At 32.8% G+C, this 22,383-nt stretch overlaps 1 protein-coding gene across 3 annotated transcripts in view; it reads left to right on the top strand.

Moving 5' to 3' along the window:
* The window catches only part of LRP1B (LDL receptor related protein 1B), a 1,899,594-nt gene that overhangs the window by 1,101,051 nt on the left and 776,160 nt on the right, over positions 1-22,383 (top strand). For all 3 annotated transcript variants that reach the window (NM_018557.3, XM_017004341.2, XM_047444771.1), the window contains exons 12-14: positions 9,864-10,044; positions 14,051-14,270; positions 16,221-16,410. In NM_018557.3, coding sequence (NP_061027.2) covers positions 9,864-10,044; positions 14,051-14,270; positions 16,221-16,410 — 591 coding nt within the window. The remainder of the gene's footprint in view (positions 1-9,863; positions 10,045-14,050; positions 14,271-16,220; positions 16,411-22,383) is intronic.

Here is a 22,383-nt window from a genome sequence, read left to right as displayed (position 1 = left end):
GAATTATTTTGGGTTCAACTGGAGAGGGTGTTGCTACTGGAATCTAGTAGATAGAGGTATGTGCTGCTAAACATTGTGCAATACACAGGACAGTTCTCCACAACAAAGGATCTTCAGTTCCCAAATGTCAGTAATGCCACAGCTGAGAAACCCTATCATAAAGGATGGTGGGGAATAAACCTGCCGCCACTGCATTGGTGCCAAAAGTAGAAAATGAGACATTGAGACTTAGGAAGTTTATTGCTCACCACATGAGTATCAGCATGGTTGCACTGGTTACCCTGCCCGGGAGTCTCAGGGAGCGACATGATAGGCCTGGATGAATGCTGAGCAAGCAGGGAGTTGTGCCACAGCTGCGGATCCCAGGGCCTAGAGATCAGCACTTTCTGAGAAAGCAGCCGGCATTATGCAAACAGCAAGATCTGTAGTTTGCCTCCCCTGTGGAGCTAGCAGTTACACAGCAGTCACCCTGTGGTCCCCTTGACTTACTTAGCTGCCTATGTGAGTAGCAAGATAAATTGTTCAGTATCAAAAGAGAAATAAGCCTTACAATCTGGCAAACTCAGCAAGAATGTACAGGGACACTCAAGGCCCACAGGGGACTGCCTCTCCCAATACCCATAAATAAACCCTTGAAAATAAGTACAAGTCACAGTAAGGGACCACCTTATCACTGCTGTTCATGAAAATTTTAGGTATGATCACCTCATAAGGGTTCCACGCAATGACTTTTAAGTTCACAGGGGGAAAAGGCTATTTAAGTTGTTTTTCTGCTATTTAACCTATAATAGCCCTGTAACTCTTCTCCAATATCCTCTTTTCATCCCCTGAACACCCTAGACATGGTCCCAACTCAGGGCTTTTGCACATGTTTCTGTGTCTGGAACGTTCTTCCATCAGATGCCCCCATGCCTCTCTTCTGTAAGTCCTAGACGTCTTTGCCTGCAGACCACCTCCTCAGTCAGCCCTTCTGGCCAGCCCAATAAAATTACTTACAGCCACCACACCCAACCCAGCTCTCTTCCCTTTCCTGCCTTTTTCTCTTTTGTGATTATTCTGCGTATGTTTCACTTGGTTGTTGCCTTGCTGCAAGAATGTAAGCTTCAATAGGTAAGAGATTTTCTTTGTTTTGCTCAGTGGTAGATCCTTAGGGCCTAGAACAGTTCATGGCTCATATTAACTATAGAGCAAACATTCATTAGATGGATGAATGGGTACTTTAATTTAGTTGTCATTACTTTAAAAACAGTAATTAAACTGATTAAAAAGATCTAAGAATCATTAAAGAATGATGATTTTTGTTCTAATATAAGAAACAATTAAGATCAATTTATCATTTTTTGATCATTCGAAAAGTCATTTTGGTTTTTACTGAAATTCCTCTTATAATAATCATCCTTGGATGATTTTTCAGGAATTTTCAGTTGAATCTTGTAAAACCTTACATATTTTTATTGATTTATTTAAACTTCTGTAACGTTTTAATAAAAAATTTTAGATTACAATTTTTAGATTACACATAATACACCCGTCTTAACACACTTTCCTAGTCTTTCTGAATCAACATCTCATTTTTTTTTGCACAGCTTTAGATTCTTTTTCTTTAAGAGATACATATCTACCTTGAATAATTTTATACTATATACTTATATGAATAAGTTATTATTCACTAATACCTCTTATACTTTTACTGTGGAATCATAAGTATTTATTTATCTTATTATACCACAATTGTTATAAAATATATTATTAATATCATTTAAACTAATTTTTACAGGTAATGCTACATCTAGCCTTGATATCTTCTATTATATAAAAACAATGCATTTACAAAGCAATTTATTATATTTTTAAAAATAAATTTTGAAGTAACTTTAGTCAAGAATTTGCAAAATAGTACAGAGAATTTCTGTATATTTCTCTGTCTTAATTGATTCAGGCTTCCATAAAAAAGTACCATAGACTGGGTGACTTATACACAACAGAAATTTGTTTCTCTCAATTCTGGAGCATAGAAGTCTGAGATCAGGGTGCGAGCATGGTCAGGTTCTGGTGAGGGACCTCTTCCAGGTTGCAGACTGATGATGACTTCTCACTGTATCCTCACATGAAGGAAAAAGGATTAGAGAGCTCTCTGGTCTCTTCTTATAAGGGCACTAACTTCATTTACGAGGGCACCACCCTCATTAACTAATTACCCCCAAATATTTTCACATTAGAATGAGGATTTCACCATGTGAATTAGGAGGACACAAACATTTAGTCCATTGCGCCCTCACACAGCTTTTTCTAACATCTTGCAAAACTGCACTGCAGTTATCAAAACTAGAAAAATTAATGTTGATGCAATATTGTTAATCAAAGACTTTATTCAAATATCAGCCGTTTTTTCATAATGAGTTTAGTTATGTCTTGTCCTTCTCATGTAGCTTATAACAGTGCCCCAGGTTTTCCTCATGTTTTCTTTTAATATTTCACTTCCCTTCATATGGACATTTGTTAAATCTCTACATTGTTAGTCATCAGATGTATTTTAGTAAGAAATGAGAGGTATCATTTATTGAGAATTTGATTATGTGCCAGGCATTGTTCTGCTTCTTATTCTCTCCTTTAATCCTAATATGGAGAGAACTGATTATTATTCATATTTTCATTTGCAAAAGCTGAAGTTCCAGTTTAAGCCATGTATCAAAGGGTAGGCAATTTGCCAAAGGTTATCAAAGTGGAGAAATCTGAAAAAATTTGCAGACTTTCACTATATACGGTCTTTGTGATTGGAAAGTTTGTACCAAAAGCATCCTCTACTGTAGTAACCTTATTCTAGCTTTATTCCCCTCCCTTCTTCCATGCCCCACTTTTCCTTCTTCCAAGGAAACTTTGCCTAGGTTAAACTTTCTTCAACTCCTTCCTCTATTTATCATTTTTTTTCTTTACAATTCTAGAGGTCAAATTTGAATACAAAGCAGGGTAGGCACATTAGAACATGAGTTAAATTTCAAGACTTGCTATAGTGACTACTAACTAATCATAGGTCCTTGTGAGTCAACTTACTTTTCTGGGTCTTTGTTTCATTATTTGTAGATGTACAAGTTAAACTTCATGGTTTTGTAGCTTCTTTTATTCCTAGCATACTGAATTCACAACAAGGCTGCTGCCTAATTTTATTATGACTTTGCCCCAATGTACTGTTTCAGTTTTGTAAGAGTACCTATGTACCCAGGAGGGTTATGACTGTGTGTGTTTTCTTAGATATTTATGGAAAGATGTTATTAGATAAATTATTATTAAGAACTTGGCCTCCTTTACCACATTTACCTAGAGTCCACACAGGCATTTGTCTAGCCTTTTTCTCTGCGTATTTATGTGGATCTGAAACAAGTATAGTTTTGGTTGATTTAGCCTGGTTATCTCCAGGAGTATGGTCACATGAGATAACACATTTGTTCTATGCCATGGTAATTGTAAATATAATAAAGATTTACATTCTCTAACTTTTAAGCTCAACTTGGAATTTAGTGATCAGTATTTTTCACTAAACATGATTTCTAAGCATGTATATGATACCTTGTCTTTTTTAAAGTTCAGTAAACATTATCAGTTGATGCAACTTTTTGAATGTTTAAGGGACCAAGTGCAAAAACATGAAACCTATTAGAAAATATAGCTAATAAAAAGTCAACTTCTGTGAAATTAAATTGTCCAAGTGACTACTAATAGGGTAGACTTTTCATATAATATGAAAGAGATTGAATAATTTACTATTGATGAAATCGGTACCAAAAGTGTTTTACTTTTATAAATTATAAACTTCACAGTTCTAAAATGAATATTCGAGAATAGGTGTGATATATTGTGTTCCAAAAATGGAAGCAGTTTTAGCTTTGTTTTCTCTTGATAGGCAGAGTTAGGTAGTAAAATGGTGTTAATGGAAATGACTTTCTCCCCATTCACAATGAAGACTCTAATATTATCCAAAGAATTTTAGTGGAATATTGTACAATGATCTATATGCCCCTTGCGTATCTCTAGGGCTTCTTTAATTGAAAGCTATTTTGTCCTCTGAAATATATACTTTTCAGTGTTTTATCGGAAAAGGATGAATGTGAAGAATGACCTTCTTCTTCCCAGCCCATTCAGCAAAATCATTTTCAGATCACAGTCATGGTCATTGTGTACTAGTTAGGATTCTCTAGAGAAACAGAACAAACAGAATGTATATATAGAGAGACAGAGAAAAAAAGATTTATTAAGGAATTAGGTCACACAATTATGGGAACTGGAAAGTCCAAAATTTGCAGAGTACATCAGCAGGCTGGAGACCCAAAAAGAGCTGATGTTGCTGCTTGAGTTCAAAGACAGTCTGGAGGAAGAATTTCATCCTTCTCAGGGGATCCCAATCTATTCTTAAGGCCTTCAACTGATTGGATGAGGCGAACCCACATTATAGAGAGTAACCTGCTTATTACTCAAATTCTACTGATGTTCATATAATCTAAAACATACCTTTACAGCAACATCCAGACTGATGACCAATTATTTGTGTACCATGGGCTAGCCAAATTGACTCATACAATTAACCATCACACATAGTTAGCTACACAATATGCTTTAGATATGGTTGTGTAAATCAATGCAGAATTCCCATAAGAACAATAGCTTGGAATCCAGAAATTATTATTTGTGTTCATATCCACTCATCAATTTGTTTGCTCTATCTATCTGCATTTATTGCTTTAGGTGTGGTTGTGTAAATCAGTGCAGAATTCCCATAAGAGTAATAGCCTGGAATGCAGACATTATTATTTGTGCTCATATACACTCACCAATTTGTTTGCTCTATCTATCTGCATATATTAGTGACTACCAGATTATGACTTTTCAGGACCTTTTATTGTGAGACATTTCTCCATGGATCTCTCACATTTCTGCATGTCTCAAAGTAAGACACTTACTGTTTTTTCTTCAGAAGTATCTTTTCAAAGATGCTTGTATAGCAAAGAGTATTGAGAGAAAGAGACAGTCACTTGCCAGTGAAAACAGCAGGCCTTCTTACTGCCCATTATAATAGGCTTGGATTTTCTAAACTCAGAATTCTTCTCCTGTAATGCCACCCACAGTATATGAAAGCATCCATATGGACCCCTCCCAGTTGCTCCTGCGGACTTCGAAGTAAAGGGAACTGACACCAATCTGCTGATGACCATCCTGCTTGTTGTGCCATGAGTAATAAAATCTTTTATATCTGATCCACAAGTCTTGTGTCTTCTACCAGAATTCATGGAACAAAAACAGGCAAACTTGTAAGCTTGAAAGTATGATAAAAATCTCAGTCCTTAACCATTCTTGATCTTTCATTTTATTCATCATTTTAGATTATTGGTAACTATGATGCATACTATGACACTATCTTTACTTGTCCATGTCTTCATTGTATCAAAGATAAAATAACTGAATGTCATAGAGTGATGATCTGTATCCCCTGACCCATTGAGAGTGACAGTTTGCATTGGATAATGGAAGGAAACCACTATGTTTTAATATATTCTGTTTATTCTGGAAAATAAGACCCTTATATGCACTCTACATATCTCTTTGAATACAACATCAAGGTATTTTGTTCTGAGTGAGAATGGCTTGTGTATTCACCCTCCTTGACCTAACAGCTAAGGAGAAATCTGGAATGAAAATGAGGTTGAGAAATATCAGCCTCAGCTGGCCATTAGGGACAGGTGGTATCTTTAGTCTGTGACCAGAGACCCTTGAAACCCCATGAGACAGCTTATTCAGCAAGCAAATTTTACTGCTACACTATTAATTAAATCAATGTCATTCCCTCATGTCAGATACATATGAGCTATTTATGGCCTCAGACCATATTGAAATGTACAAAGAGAATATGTATTAATTGAACTACAAGAATAGGAGACAGGAAAGTTGTCCAAGTGCTGACTCTAGGGTGAGGTAAGGCATCGCTGGCCTTAGGCATGTCTACATGCATGATGCAGACTTAATTATTTAAAGCACTTTACCATACTCTGTACTCACGTAGACACTTCCGTTCCAACTCAGAAAAATAATGTTCATGCTAAGGATAGATAACACTGGATAAACTTGTATAAGGTAGAAAAATGTAGAAACTATGGTTTTATAATGGCCATTTTTGGGTATAATTTTTAGTCAGTTTCTTATTATATGCCTCAAATTCTGTTGTAAAGCATCAAGATCTATGGATCATTTCTGGAGGTCCAGCTCATGTGCCATAACAAAAATAAGGCCACTGCTCACATCCTTTCTTTTAAAAATCATGGACCCATTTTAAAAAGAGGCAATTATATTTTAAGTATATAAAACTTTAGTCTTCTGTTCCATGAATGTATAATATCTAAAAATCAGACCTGTAATGAAGTTTTCATTTTAGAAATATGTTTTTCTCCCAAAACCACTCTCTTTAAAAATGTTTATTTGGTCTAGTCTAAAGTATTACATTCATTTGAAGAACAGTCCTATTTATTCTTTTTAAATCCACATCATTATTCTTTTAAAATTTACATAAATTTTATTATATGTTATTTATCCTCATTTCCTTAGTGGTAGGTGTCTCTTATAGGAAGTAATATTGTTAACATCAGGAATTTTTCACTTAAGTAAACCACGCACTTCATTATTAATCCTAAATTTGAATGAGATATGTGAGTGTGTGGGTGTTTAATGCACTATTTATATATTACTCCATTCATATAAGTTATTTTGAAATTACTAGAACAAAGATAACATGTTGTAGAAATTATAATAATTTGAGAAAAATAATATTCTTAAGTTTTCAGAATGCAAGAAAAGGCTGTTTATTTTCTGAGTATGAGTAAATGTGCAATATCTTCACTTAGCATGAAAAATACAGACATAATATTAATCTAAACAAAGTTTACAAGAAATAATTATCTACTGGAATTTTTTTTTCTTAAGAAGTACAAACATGTTAACTCCTTGCCTATTGATGCATGAAAATGGGTATTTTGTGAAAGCTAAGGGAGATTTTGACCAGATGTTTAAAATAGCCATGCTCTTGTTTGCTATTAGTTATGCAATAATAATAATAAATAGTAGAAAATATGAATTTTATAATGTAGAATACTTGAACTCTATCCCAAAGTATACAAAGAAATCTACTCTACCAAGTTTTTCTTTATCAAACATCTTCCTTGCATTTTAATATCATGTGTTTCCTCAAGCTAATAATTAGACTCTCTGTAGTCACTGATGTTTGTTTGGCCTTTGAATGCCACAACCTTCATGTGTCCCTGATCTGTTTAAAGGGCTTTTGTTCATAGAGTCATTATTAGTCAGTCTCAGGCAGGACCCAACCAGACCCCTTTGAATAAAATATCAAACGTACATAAGACTGATGTTCTATATGTCTAACTGTTCCATCTAATTTATAAGTTAATTTAAAGCAGAGACCAAATAATGTGGAAGCAGAATGCTTCCCTTATCAATGTATATTTGTGGAGAAAGGAATTAATTGATTGTTCAAGCTGTGTTCTGCAAGAGAGAAATTCCTCCCTGCCCCATTAAAGATAACCTAAAAAGATTCCCAATTTGCTCATAGATCTTTTTATACATTTTCTTATTTTTAAATTTTTATTCATTATCATTCTCCCTATAACAGAAAAAAAAATCAAAGCACAAACAGAAAACAACCTTAAAAAATAATCTAGGCTAATTCCTTTATTACTGTCTTAATAGACTAGATACCTAGCCTAAGGAAAGATTATACAGAAATTAAAATGATATTATTACAGGAATAATAATAATCATTATATATTATTTAGTATATGCCAACCATTAAGAACATCACATATATTTATTTATATACTATTTTTAGTTAAAGTTAGTCACTGGTAAAAATGCAAGAAAATATTATAGAAAAAGCATTTTAAAGGTGAAAAACAAAAGATACAATCCTATCAAGTAGTACCCTTAAAGAAAAGAGACAGAAGAGATATAAAATATTTTTTAATCCTGATAAATTAATAAAAACTAACATGAACTGAGAAGTTACTGTATTCCAGGAAATATGCTAAATGTTTACATGCAGTAGCTATTAATAGCTTGCCCTTTGTAATCATCCTATGAGATAGGTGCTATGATAATCTTCACTTTCCTGATGCGTCACTGAATTTGCTTACCCAAGTGTCAGAAACAAAAGTTTCATCCATACAGCATTGTAACTGCTTCATATGAAAAAAATAAGTCTCAAGTCATATGTTAAAAGGAAAAGTTTCAAAAATAAGAGGGTTATCCAGCATGAAGACTTTTTGTACTGGGGCAGATTTCACATGTAATTCAATTTTTGAAAACCAACTAACAAAAACCAGCTATAGACTATAATAAATAGAAAAGGGTAAATAACTACTCTCATTCCATTATACCAGAATAGGAAAGTGCTCAGGAAAATTAAGTGTCAATAAGTGAAGGCAAAATTAAACTTCTTTTTCTAAGCATAGGCACAATTAACCTATGAAAATTACTTATATTGGATGGTAATGAAGCAGATAGCTCAGCGAAATTGGGAACATATCTGATTCACTGTAATGGAATTTTCAGTTAGATCAGATCACATTTTGTACCAGTCATTCTGAATCACAACACATGTTGATTAGCAACAAGGGTTACAAGGGAAAATTTTACTGTTTTTCCTGAGCCAGAAAGACCATGATTAAACAACATGATAATAGTAAATATCCATTGTGTCTGCATACAGGGAAATGTGATCTAGATTTCCTTGTAGTGTGTGAATACAGAGCTCCCTCTCTAATATATACTACCTATTGCCTTTGTCCAGTAAATTCCAGTTCTGTAACTCATGCCAAAAAGGAAAAGAGGAAGTCTATGTACTCTACCTTGGTTTTGAGAGAAAAGAAGGAGTTCACAGCCATTTTTCATGCAACAGAAGAATGGAATCGTAGTTGTAATGTTGTAGGCTGAAGTGTGGATGAAGACAGGATGCTACAGAAACTCACCCTAGGAACCGTGCAGTTTTGAGGGTTTCCACACTGTGGGTCATAAGGCTTGGATATTTATCCAATTGCTACTGCTTCGTGAATGATAATAGACCATAAGTAACTGCCTTCACTTTGAAGTTTTAGTTACCCCCCCTTTATAAAATAAAGGGTTTGAATTAGGTGAACTCCAAGGATTATTATTTGTCTATTACATTTGAATTATCACTGCCTGTATCTCATATAATCCTGTAATAGGATTCTTTGCAAGGTAAGTCTAAAACAAAGAGAAGTATTTTGGCGATTCCTTGAGATTGACTGTTGATGCAGTTCTGGGATGAAAGCCTGTCCTGGGCTTTCATACTTGTGCCCCTGCTGAAACTGTTCATCCTTGGGCAAGAGGACATTCATATTATTTCGATTACTCAGATTACATATTACAAGTTTGAACATGCTGACACAGTACTAGTAGATTTTTCTTCAGAACAGTCTACATTGCTGAATTTGTCACTTATATTCAAGCTTTTTCGCTCCTATCACTTGTATGTTCCCATTTTTCTGCAGATCACTGAATTACAATAAATTGAAGTTCAATTAAAATCTGAGTTAATGACCATGATTAATTTGTTAACACTGTGTACAATTGAGAGAGGGCCTATTATTCACATAAAAAGGCATTCAAAATAAAATTGAAAAATATTCTATAGAATAGTGACATTTGCAAAAATTACACCATAAAGATTTCATGGATCAGAGTTCTTTCCTTTTTGAACTAAAGTTTTTATTAGGTAGCTATTAGTAGTGAACACTAATTTTACTATAGTTGTAAAAGCAATTTCTTTCTTGTTTTTGCTTTTTTTATAGATCTGGATAATGTAGAGGGCATTGCTGTGGACTGGATTGGAAATAATCTTTACTGGACCAATGATGGCCATAGGAAAACCATTAATGTGGCCAGGCTGGAAAAAGCTTCTCAGAGTCGGAAGACTCTTTTAGAGGGTGAAATGTCTCATCCCAGAGGAATTGTGGTGGATCCAGTTAATGGGTATGCAATATTTGACTAGCTTTATATAAGAAAAATGATAATAGATAAATTTGTTTCTTACATAGTTAATAATAGTTTTATTTAAATCCATATGTATAGCTGATTTTCCACACAAATGGTCTTAGTGGGTAAAGTTACACATTTAAGGGTTTTTCTGTACTAGAGAATGTACTAAAGAAACATGTCAGAATACATTGACCTGAATTAGATTACTGCGCAAAGATGTATTACTTGATTTATTCAAAATTAGCACTATAATTCTGTACTTTAAGCAGCCTGACACCAAGATAAATAATCAATTCAACCAGAGAATCAATCCATTTTATATTTTAAAGGCTATTGAAATTTAGTGTATTCAAAAAAATAGCAAAAGTTTTATACATTTCCTAGAGGTCAGACGTTTTATTAAATGGGTTACTCTGACCCTATTTTGTAACCCTTACAATAATCCTCTGAATTCGTTGCTATTCTTATCCCTGCTTTATAAAGTTGAAAATGATAACTGTCTTGCCAATCACTATTCAATTAGTAAAAGACTGGGTCTACATTTATTCCCAGGAAGCCTGTCTATATGACTTTACTCTTAGCCACTAAACTTCACTACTTTTTATTAGTCTAGGGTGACAACCACATAATTTTAGATACCACCGTAATTTCCATATAGGGACATCATTTTATAGTATGTATTACTTGTTTTAGAATGAAATATTTTGTCCAATTCTTGGTAATATGTTTTCTTTTGATTTTTAATCAGCGCTATTACCTGAATGCAAAACTGTACTTATAGAAATATCAAAGATGGAAATTTTCATAGTATTTTATAACTTAAAAATGTTATTTTATTGAATGTTTTACATGTATAGTTTTTTGGAGTGTTTTTCCTTCCATGGCTTACATATTATTGTTTCAAGACATCAAAAAATAGATTTTCTTTACACTTTACTGCACACATACAAAAAATACATATTGTATAGGAGGCATGTGAATCCCTTATAAACCGAGATTACCAAATTGCGGTTCCTAGAATTGTTTGTGTTAAGAGTAGCTCCAAATACAACCAGGGTTCCTAGGCAGTGAGTGAACTCATTGTAAGTGTTTCATAGGGCATAATTATAAAGTAATTTTGGTGATTTTATGTTTGGATTATATAATCATCTGGTAAACCAGCCTTAGTTTTTGAAGAGAGTATTTGTTCCACACTGTCCAAATCTATCTGAAGAAAGAAATTTCAAATCTATCTTAAAACAGCATCTTCTTTCTCACTGTTGTTAGAGAAAATGTTTTCTGATAGAGCTAAAGAGTCTTTGTTGTGCCCAAGAGATGACATAAATGTGGAATTCATAGAAACATATAATTTAGAAGAAAATTCAGAGCCCACTAGTTCCATCTCTCTCATCAAATTTAGAAATCCTCTTCAACGTCTCCCAAGTTTGTAGGTATCCAGATTATATTAGAAACCTATAGCATCTACATAGTTCAAGCTCTTTGAAGGCAATTCTGATTAATAGAATATTTTTTTCATTGAGACAATATCTGCATCCCTGTCATGTCTTCCTACCAACTGTCCCTATATACAAGGAATAAGTGCAATACATATTATTTAAAACTAGACAGTGTTACTAAGAAACAGAGGAAAGAGCTTATTTTGACTCATCTCCAGAAAGGCTGGGGATAGACTTCATCAGATAATTACATTCAAACAGGCCTTGAAATAAAGGGTAGAATTTTTCTTGCTATATTAGCAGAAGGCCAGATTAACCTATGTTTTATGTGAAGAATACACGGAGTCCCACCTAGAAAAAATACTTGTATTAGTTCCTGCTTATTTAATAGGTTATATTTCTATTCTGTGTGTTTAAGAATTCTCATTGTTTGGTACTGGTATTGATTGTAAAGCTTTCATAATTTTTTTTTTTTTTTTTAGACAGGATCTTACTCTGTTACCCAGGCTGGAGTGCAGTGGTATGATCTTGGCTCACGACAGCCTCGATAGCCTGGACTCAAGTGATCGATTCTCCCACCTCAGCTTTGAGACTAGCTGGAATTACAGGCACAGGCCACCGTGCCTGGCTACTTTTTGTATTTTTTTTGTAGAGATGGGGTTTTGCCATGTTGCTCAGGCTGGTCTCAAACTCCTGGGCTCAAGCAATTCGCTTGCCTCAGCCTCCCAAAGTGCTGGGATTACAGGCATGAGCCATGGTGCCTGGCCCACAATATATATTTAAGCATATATATATATGTGTGTGTGTGCATATACATATATACATATATATATATGTAACCTCTCTCAGATTGGCATTACTTAGAAAAATAACTTTCTTATATTTTGTTTAAATAAAAATAATTTTAGGTGCTGGATCAGTTGGCGAACAATTCCTTTTCTCAAATAGTAAAATATGCAGTATATTTAGAATATCCAGATTTATCTCTGTCTCGTGTGTGCGTGTGTGTGTTTCTGTATACACAGGCACATGTATGTGTGATTTGAGTCACAGAAAAAAAAAACATGTTGCCATGATCAAAAGGAGAAGCTATAGGGTAAGATAACTGCAATATTAATGTTATAAATGAACAAAAATAAAACCGTATTGATTAACTGTATATAAGAAAATTTCAGGAAAATATCAATAGAGATGAAAAGATTGCATATTTCACTTTTATATAGTTAATTTATATAGCTGATGTCAAGTAGTTATACCTAACTACATAGAATTACAGCAAATAGAATGACTATCCTTTTTGTTACTAAGTTGTCCCAATTAAAAAATCACTTTAAGGAATTACAAGATACAATATAGAAATATTTCCATGTTTATTTCTAGGATTAATACAATTCAACAGTCTCAATATAGTTCCTTGGGTCTAAAAAGGGCATATCAACATAACTGGAAACCGTTAAGAGAATTTAAAAAGAGCTTAATTGGTATGAAATAATGGGTAGTGTGTTCATCCTCAGTTTTCCCAAGTCTGCCAGCTTAGATCACAGTAGGATTTTTCGTCATGGTGACAGACTTTTTCCAAATGCACTTAGAAATTCTTAGGGTCTACAAAATGGGGGAGGCAGGGGATCTAATAAGGGTATTTCAAGGGTCAGCAGCTTAGCAAAGATTTGAGACTTTATAAAGTTGTATATGAGATGACTGGATTAAACCTACACTTTAATTAATAAACTCAGGAACTTTCACATGACCCTAAAACAACACATGTGGTGGGTTTTAACCTCATTCATGAGGCAAATGGAACATTAGTTCAAGACCCCCTCTCCTACTGTTAGAGCTTTACAAAAGATTTGTTTTTAAAGGCAGATGCTTTTGTTTGAGATAGACATTAAAGCTCAAAATCTCAAGGTCAGTCAACTTGCTATTACTAAACTTACGTGCAGCTAAATCATCTTCTGTAGATTTTGGGGTAATAATAAGCAGCAATAAAACATAGATGATTTGCATCAGGAAGACAAATTAGACCTAGCCAAACAAACCCAATATGACAGTGCCCTTTAGAACAAAGTCAGTCCAATTACCTGTCTTAAAGAATCATAATTCATCTGAGATTAAATAAAGTCTGGAGTAGATCATTAACTGTGCCGTGGGTTCTCATGTCAGTCAATCTGCTTTTTAATCACATAATTGATTATATACTTTTTGAAGTGGACAACATTTAAAATAGTAATGACCCAGAAAATCATTTCCTTTACTTGGTATCAACAGCCCCCAAAAATAGATATTTGGCACTTACTGTCAGGTTCATTAATGCATGAAGCCAGTAAGTGCGATAGTGGTGGTAGTTGGCTTTTCTGTAATAAGTGTAAATGCACAGTTCTACCAAACAAATCTTTGCTTTCTTTAAAACTTCACAGCTCCCCCCTCTTTGACAGATAAGCACTTAGATAGGAGGACAAATCAGAATGAAACTAGAATTTATGGAACTGCCAAATCTGAGGAAGTGTCTATACTGTGGCTGGTTGTAATAACATGTATGCATTTTTGTTGTTTTTTTAATGTCTTAGTTGGATGTATTGGACAGACTGGGAGGAAGATGAAATAGATGACAGCGTGGGAAGGATTGAGAAGGCCTGGATGGATGGATTCAATCGGCAGATTTTTGTGACTTCAAAGATGCTGTGGCCAAACGGTTTAACTCTGGACTTTCACACCAACACATTATACTGGTGTGATGCCTATTACGATCATATTGAAAAAGTATTTTTGAATGGGACTCACAGGAAGGTAAAAGACAAATGCTGCTGTTTTTAACCCACAGGCTTCTTTTTTTCACAGAGCCTTGTTGTGTTGTGTTAAAAATACTTTCAAGTTTATTTTTACTCCTCTGAGGTGGCTGCCAATAGTCTCCATGGGGTGGCTGAAGCAGGCTGAGCATTAAGTAGTGCAGCTGGCACTTGCCTCTGGGAGACCAGGCCCAGCTCACTGTGGTATGCCAGGATTTGTGGGATTTCTAAAAGCAGCTCTCAGGATATCAGAGCTGTTTTAAAATGCAGTTTTTCTACATTATTGATGAGTTTTCTATAACCAAGCAACCCCACTCTATTAAAATATGTTCAATATTTTGAGCTGAAGTTTAACATTATGTATTACGAGGAAGTAATTACATTGTATTTAGTTGAGTAAGTAACTTGGTGACATTGAAACTTAAACACATAGTAGGAATGAGCTGAACTTCCAGCTTATTGGTATGAAGAGGTATCAGTTTCCTCTTGCTTTTTTTGCTAGAGTAACTGCAAAATGATTTTGAAATTCTTAGGTAAAATTGAGGATGATGCAGTTGGCTGTGAGACAGAGGCATAGTTGACAAAACAAAACCTCTATATTTCATGTTTTAGTAATCTAATTACAAATAACACCAATAACTGACTTTAACTGTGAGTCGAACAATAGAAAAAGGGGATGTTAGAAATGACCAAAATGCTTCCTTTAAGTTACATTTCTTTTCTTTTTGGAAAGAAAACCTGCACATTTGGCTAAGCCTACTCATTATGGATTCTGTTTTAGAAAGAAATACTACACTAATCAGTTAAGACTGCTCTGTTGTTGATTGATGCTAACAATACTGTAAATATTTTCTCCAAATAAGTACAATTGGTTGGCATTGAACCTAATGTCACACACTTAACAGGTGCTAGATAAATCTTTATGCTTCCTTAGAAGATGTTGGTATGTAAACAATAAACATAATACTTTCATGGCCAGCACATTTTGGCCTACATAAAGGTGAGAAAAAAATTAAGAAACCATGTCAATTATTCAATGTATGATAATTTGGTGAGAAGAATTCAGTTAAAAGGAGCAAAATTTAAATTTATGACCCTAAATTATTTAGATAATTTTCTCAATTCTCTAATATTAAATGAAGTGAATACAAAATCTTTTTCATCTTGTATTCAGTATGTTTTTATTTATGGTAAAAGGTGAAAAAGTATTCTCATTATTGAGGTATAATTTATTCCCCTTCTAAAATCCTACATGTGAAACTGGACTTAAACTTTTATCACATGATTCCTCCATTTAAGGAACAACAAAACAATATAACTAGAATGTAAATGAATATATTAACATAATCAGAATTTAACTTGCCAGTGAGTTTTTATCTATTTACTAATAATAAATGTGTCTGTGTTTAAATTAAAATCTTTACCATCTTTTCTGCCAGATCCAAGATTTCTTCAATTTGCATTGGCTCAATTAAAGTAGGAGGATCCTTTTGACTCCCAATGCTGTTTGAACATGTTCTATTTGTTGGTTATTGGAAGAGCAATTTTGTAATACACATGATTATTCAGACTGATTTCTATCCCAGGATATGATACTGAAATATCATAAGCAAAAGGAACAGGAATGAGAGTAGGGAAAATTCATTTTAGTATTTGCATTCTTAACCGTATTTTTCGTGCCATAGATGAAAGAATTTACATTGATAAAATAGATGGTTTAATAATAAATAATAAATGGTTTAGATAAAATAGATGGTTTCCTTCAAATAGCATGCCCTAAAACAAAAAATATGCTCACATTGTGAAATCCATTTTTTAAATCTATCAGAGAAAATGAGTTAAGATATGAGATTATTATCTGTTATACTTATTGAATATCACTTTCTCTAAATATCTAGTTATGTTTCTAAAGGTCAGTTCTGATTTTTCACAATGTGTTTATATTTTACAGATTGTTTACAGTGGGAGAGAGTTGAACCACCCTTTCGGACTGTCGCATCATGGAAATTATGTGTTCTGGACTGATTATATGAATGGTTCCATTTTTCAACTAGATTTGATAACAAGTGAGGTGACATTGCTGAGGCATGAAAGACCACCCCTATTTGGGCTTCAGATTTATGATCCACGAAAGCAACAAGGTATTAAAAAACAAATTAAAATGCTTCTGAGATTCACATATAATAATACTTCACAGAAGTTATAAAAGATTTATCTTGACAGTGTTGCTAAAGTTTTATGATAAAAGATGTCAAATTCCCTCCAAAGTCAATCAAATCAGATTTTGTTATCATAGAAATTTACTTTTTGTTGTTCTAAATATCCTGAGTGATTATCCCTGGGAATTCCATATGAGTGAGGTTTAAGGTTTTCTCCAAGTATTTCCTTCTCTTCATGTGATTTTCATTGAAGAAGGCTATTAGTTATTTAAAGAAAAACAATTCTCTTAATGTTTTCAAAGCGTAAGTATTGTTAAATGTTAGAACTTCCTTAGTTTGAAAAGAAAACTACTGAAAATTGAAGATGCATTATACAAGAAAAATGTTATTTTTTAAAAGTATCTTAGTAAGTTTATAATTAGTTTCAATGTATATTTAAGGAACATGTAATTATTTTAGATGACACAAAAGTAAAACCGTCTATAACAATATTCATGTCTTCTTAAAATCAGATAATATTATTTTATGTTTTACTTGCATAAGTTATTAATACTCATTAGGACATCTACACATAGCATTACTCAGAATTTAGGTATTGAATGAAGAAAACAGTTTAGTAAATTATGTGGTAGGTTTTTTATGAGTCTAAATAGTCATTGTTCCTTTTTTTAATAGACATATCATTGTAAAAATTTAATGAGTATGTAGTTCAATACATTTAAGATGAATAAATTATATTATGAATTTCCTAACACGTATGCTATCGATTGGAAATTATCTAGCAACAGAGTTTTTGAAGATATTTCAGCTAAAACAACGATCCTAAAGCAAACTATCTCATTCAAAAGCTTCAGTTTTTTCCCACTATATTAAAATTGCTTCAATGGAATACAAATGTAATTTTATAAAATAATGGAAATGTGTACATGAGAAATATCAATAGCTGATAAAAGATAAAATTATCTTTTAGAAGAATAAAACTTAAATTATTTGGATGGCACAAGCCATAGCTATGGACAAGAAATGAGGAATAGAGATAATTGCCTGGATAGATTAAAAGGTAATATTTTATTATATTCATATAAACCCTGCACCCCTACCACACTACCATAGTTTGCCTATACTGAGCAAGAGCCCAGGCTATGAATAGAAACAGTCCTTTTCATATTCTGAAAGATCTGCTTTTCAGGATTGTAGTTCTCTCTAACTTCACAATCCAATCAATATACGATCACATTTTCCATTTCCCTTCTCTTTAGAATTGTTCCTCTTGAATGTTATTGCTGAATTTCTGTTGCCAAAGTCCATAACATTTTTACCATCTTCAGAGTTTTTAAGCTTCCAGTTGCTTTAGTGAGTTGTTTAACTAAATGCAACGTGTGTAGTGAAAAATGCCCCGGGCTTAGATCTGGGTCCTGACATCTCCTTTTAAAACTTTGGACTCATCATGAAAGATTTAAAAAAATAAGAAATACTTTCCTCATAACATTTCCATGATGGTTAAATAGCTATGTGTTATTTAAAAGCAGAACTTACATAGCACTGTGCCTGACAAACAAATTATGGTAGGTAACTTACCCCTACAATTTCTCTAATAGGAGGTATTTGTTTTTAAGGTTACCCTACATATAGGCATTTTAAATAAATATTCGATGGAATAATGTATCATAATAATATACAATGAAGTACATAACTCTGATAGAGAATATTTTTGGTGTTCTGAAAGGTGCCATTGATGTATAATAGTGCAATGTTATTCCTTAGATGGACAATGATCTTTTAAAAGTGCTTTTCCCCATTTTAATTGAAGGGACATTAAAATAAAAACTGAGCTCTGATTACTAAATTCTTTTTCAACTTTTATTGTAGAAACCATAATGTTTTGTTTACTGAGTGAATGTATTGAGAATAACTGATTGATAATTTTTATTAACTTAGGTGAATTAATAAATTGATTTGTGTTTTCTACCACTTCTTCATGTAGCTAAGAATTACCTAGTACTTAACTATATGTTTGATCAAGCAATACAATATAGAAATTAAATTCCTGGTTAATACCATTTTTTCTCAGTCAAGAGACATTGATATTAGATAATCTAATTGAGTTCTAAATTTTTAGTATCTTTTACTACATTGATCAAAGCAGCTGAATTGTAAAGCAAAATGCATTCCGATGTTCAGTTGTGAGCAGTTTGTCTTAATTATTATAATTTTCTCTCAATGGTGTTACTCTTTGCATCTTTTGAATCTCAGACATTAATACATATTTGAAAGTAGATGATCTGTGTCCTATAAATGGTTTCATATTGTCCTGTTAGACTGTTTTTTTTTTTCCCTATGGATAAAATATAGCAATTGAAGAGAAAATCAAATCTCTAAGTAGTACATATCTCCTTTGCCTAATGGAATAAAATAAACTAATCTTATATAACCATACAGTCTCTCTCTCTCTCTCTCTCTCTCTCTGAGAGAATACAAATTATATGATGTTATTTATATATATATAAAAACTATATTTATTTATATTTTTTATACATATGGATAGATAGTATTAATACACACACACACACACACACACACACACACCATCTGACAAGACCACCATGAAAAATATTCAGGAATGCTAATAATGTAATTTATAAATATTTTAGACTCAGTGTCAGAAAATTAGTCAACTAATCAGATCTCCCCTTACTCCTCATATTAGAAGAGACTTGTCAATAGCCAGGCACAGAGGCTAATGCCTGTAATCCCAGCACTTCGGCAGGCTGAGGTGGGTGGGTTACCTGAGGTCAGGAGTTCGAGACCAGCCTGGCCAGTATGGTGAAACCCCTGTCACTACTAAAAATACAAAAATTAGCCAGGGGTGGTGGCAGGAGACTGTAATCCTAGCTACTCGGGAGGCTGAGGCAGGAGAATCACTTAAACTTGGGAGGTGGAGGTTGCAGTGAGCCGAGAATGTTCCACTGCACTCCAGCCTGAGTTACAGAGCAAAACTCTGTCTAAAAAAAAAAGAGACTTGTCAAATTACTTGGAATATACCAGTGAATTTCAGGAAGGTAGATATAAATAGATAACATATTAAACAGAAAGCTACCTCTAGGAAAGAATTCTTAAGTAATTCTTGGGGATTTAGTGTAAAGATATTTTTCTCATATATTACTGTGATTTCTTTTGGTAAAATGTATAAGCTTTCCTTTTTCATTAACATTAGATATCTAGAACAAGTTTTAAAGCTTTTTTCTTCTCCTCCTCATATAAAGAGCAGCAATTGTGTAAAATAACAGACTTTCCTTTTTATTTTCTAGGTTCAAAAGCACACTTTGATTTTTTGCACATTTTGGGGAATGAGATAATCAAAACTAAGTAATATTTTAATAAGGGTTGATTAAATGTATCCTATTATTTTATGACAAATAGAAGACATTTATTAACTAAGAACTAGCTGTAATTGTTAAAACTACAGGGAAGTGGACTAAGCATTGTTATTTAATTTTCACAACATATATTTAAAATAGGTACTATTGATTTATATTTTACATATGAGAAAGCCAAGGATCAGACAGACATAGCCATTGGCCCTCAAGAAACACAGTAAGCCAGGGATAAAACTAAGATTCAGATTCAGATCTGTTTGACCAGAAAGTATTTTTCTATGTTTAATTTGTGTGGCCAATTTAATTTCTCAAAATTTTATATCTACTATACTTTTAGATAGAAGAAAAAGAATGTGAATCTTTTTTGGTCATTGTAATTTTATCACTGATAAATTTTGCATTCAAATATATATTTTTAATATAAAGTTCCCCTTGACTACTTTTATAGAATCCAGGATTTAGAGATTTTAGATTACACAGGACTAGTATAACAGACATAGCAGTTTTTATTTAATGTATGACATATTTATTAATCACATTATTTTATAGGTTTAATAAGCTTTAGGTTTGGTGGTAGGACCATCATAACTACATTTTTCTTTCTTTTTATATTTCCCATTTTTGAGATAATCACCAAACCTCCCCGCCAAAACAAAGGAGTATCTTAATATAGTTACACACACACACTTACATAAGTGGCTTCAAAGCATGTCAAATATAAACACAGTCTTCAAGGAGCATCTGATTCTGAAAGAGAAAAAAAGTAAGAAGCATTTTATCCTTTCTTCAGATTGACTGACATCGTTCAAAGTCAATTCTTCTGAAATTATGCTAGATTAAATGCATAATTCATCTGGCCTCAGGATCTCACTCTCTCAGCCTTTATCTAACTTTTGGAATAAATGGGGTATCTGCTGCCTCTTCTAAACTACAAGCTCGAGTATCTCTATGTTAGTTAGAAAAAAAAAAAAGAGAATCCCCATAGTTTCACATATTTTATATTAACTGCAGAGAATTCTCACTTTGCCTGTGATAAGACACTGAGAAGTCAAGAGTCCAGGACACATATAGAAAAGGAGGTTTCTTTGTTCCACCATTTTGAAGAAAATTCAGATTAAGGAAAGACTGAAACAATGGAATTCTTTTGCGCTGATTTCTGTATTCTCTCATTTGCTCAAAAAAAGATACTTTATTAACAAAAGTTAAACTGCTAAGGTCTAAAAACATTGAGATGTTAATATAGGCTTGTGAAATGTTTTCACATATTATTTGTGTCTTTACTCCCATTCTTTGGAAGTTGTATCTATCCACAAACTTGTACCTGTGCCTGCACTCCAAATGATTGTTCTTGTCATTCAAACTGCTAACTAAAAGTTGCATTCACCACTTACTTATTTAACTAATATTTATCAAACACACTCTATGCTGGGCACTATTTGCAAGGTGTAGAATATAATTTTGCTTCTGGAAGATACAAGATTGGGAAAAAGAAAGACAAAGTTTTTGATGAAGCCAGAAGGCCTTCTTCAACTAGATAATGAAAGCTATTCTTCATTTGCTTTCCTTACATATTTGATTTTTAAAAACTATCTGCTTCCTGAAAGTAATAGACTTTTGTTGGTTTTGGTATATTTAGTATGTCTTTTTCGATCTAATTTTATTTTATATATAAATAAGTTAGTGTTTGAGAGCACAATTTTGGAGTAAGAAAATCTTATTTCTAATTATTTATAAATAATTATAATGATTAGAAATAAATGATAATTTAATAAGAATTATTTCCTATTTCTACATATTGGAAGGGTCATTTAGACGATCACATATTCAGTATTCCTACTTGCAAATGAGATAAAACCTTCCTTGTAATTTTATTTTAAAAAAATTGAATAAAATATAATGTATATGTAAAGTAACTAGCTGTGGGATTGCTTATAAGTTTTCATTAACAGCAGCTATTAATATGTTAATGACCTTTTAATTGATATATAGGTATAAAAATTTTTAGCACCATATTTGTAGTTACTTAAACATGTTTTAAAGAGGATATTTTTACATAAAATATTTTTCTAGTTCTCAGAACTTCAAAAAATACTATCATATGAGATCTATCTGGAACATATTAATGAAATTCAAAAATACGTTGGGTCACTATTAAAATAAAGATCTAAGCCCTTCTGAGGAGAGATATGGAATTATTCAAATTAATTTAGATTTTGGATTTCTATTATGACAGAACAAATAACCAATTCCTCTCTCTTAATATGTAGTATTCACAGAAAAGAAATATATTTCAAAGTTTGAATAATGCCAATTTATTTTTAAATACTTAAATTTCATATTCATTTAGAATGGTATGAGGCATACCACTGAATTAAGGAGTATGATATTTAGCATATAATTTCAACGTTTCAAAATGTCAGTAATTCCTTATTTCTGACTGTTTAAATTCTTTATATATTTCTCAAAATATGTTGAATTAATTCTAATTTTCCAGAATCTGAATGCTACTAAAATATTAAATATACAATTTCATCCTGTACAGAATGTGTACAACATAGAATAACAGTGCATCCTATGA

This window comes from Homo sapiens, chromosome 2, assembly GCF_000001405.40.
Source record: "Homo sapiens chromosome 2, GRCh38.p14 Primary Assembly".
NCBI lineage: Eukaryota > Metazoa > Chordata > Mammalia > Primates > Hominidae > Homo > Homo sapiens.
This window is presented reverse-complemented; position numbering and strand designations above follow the sequence as displayed.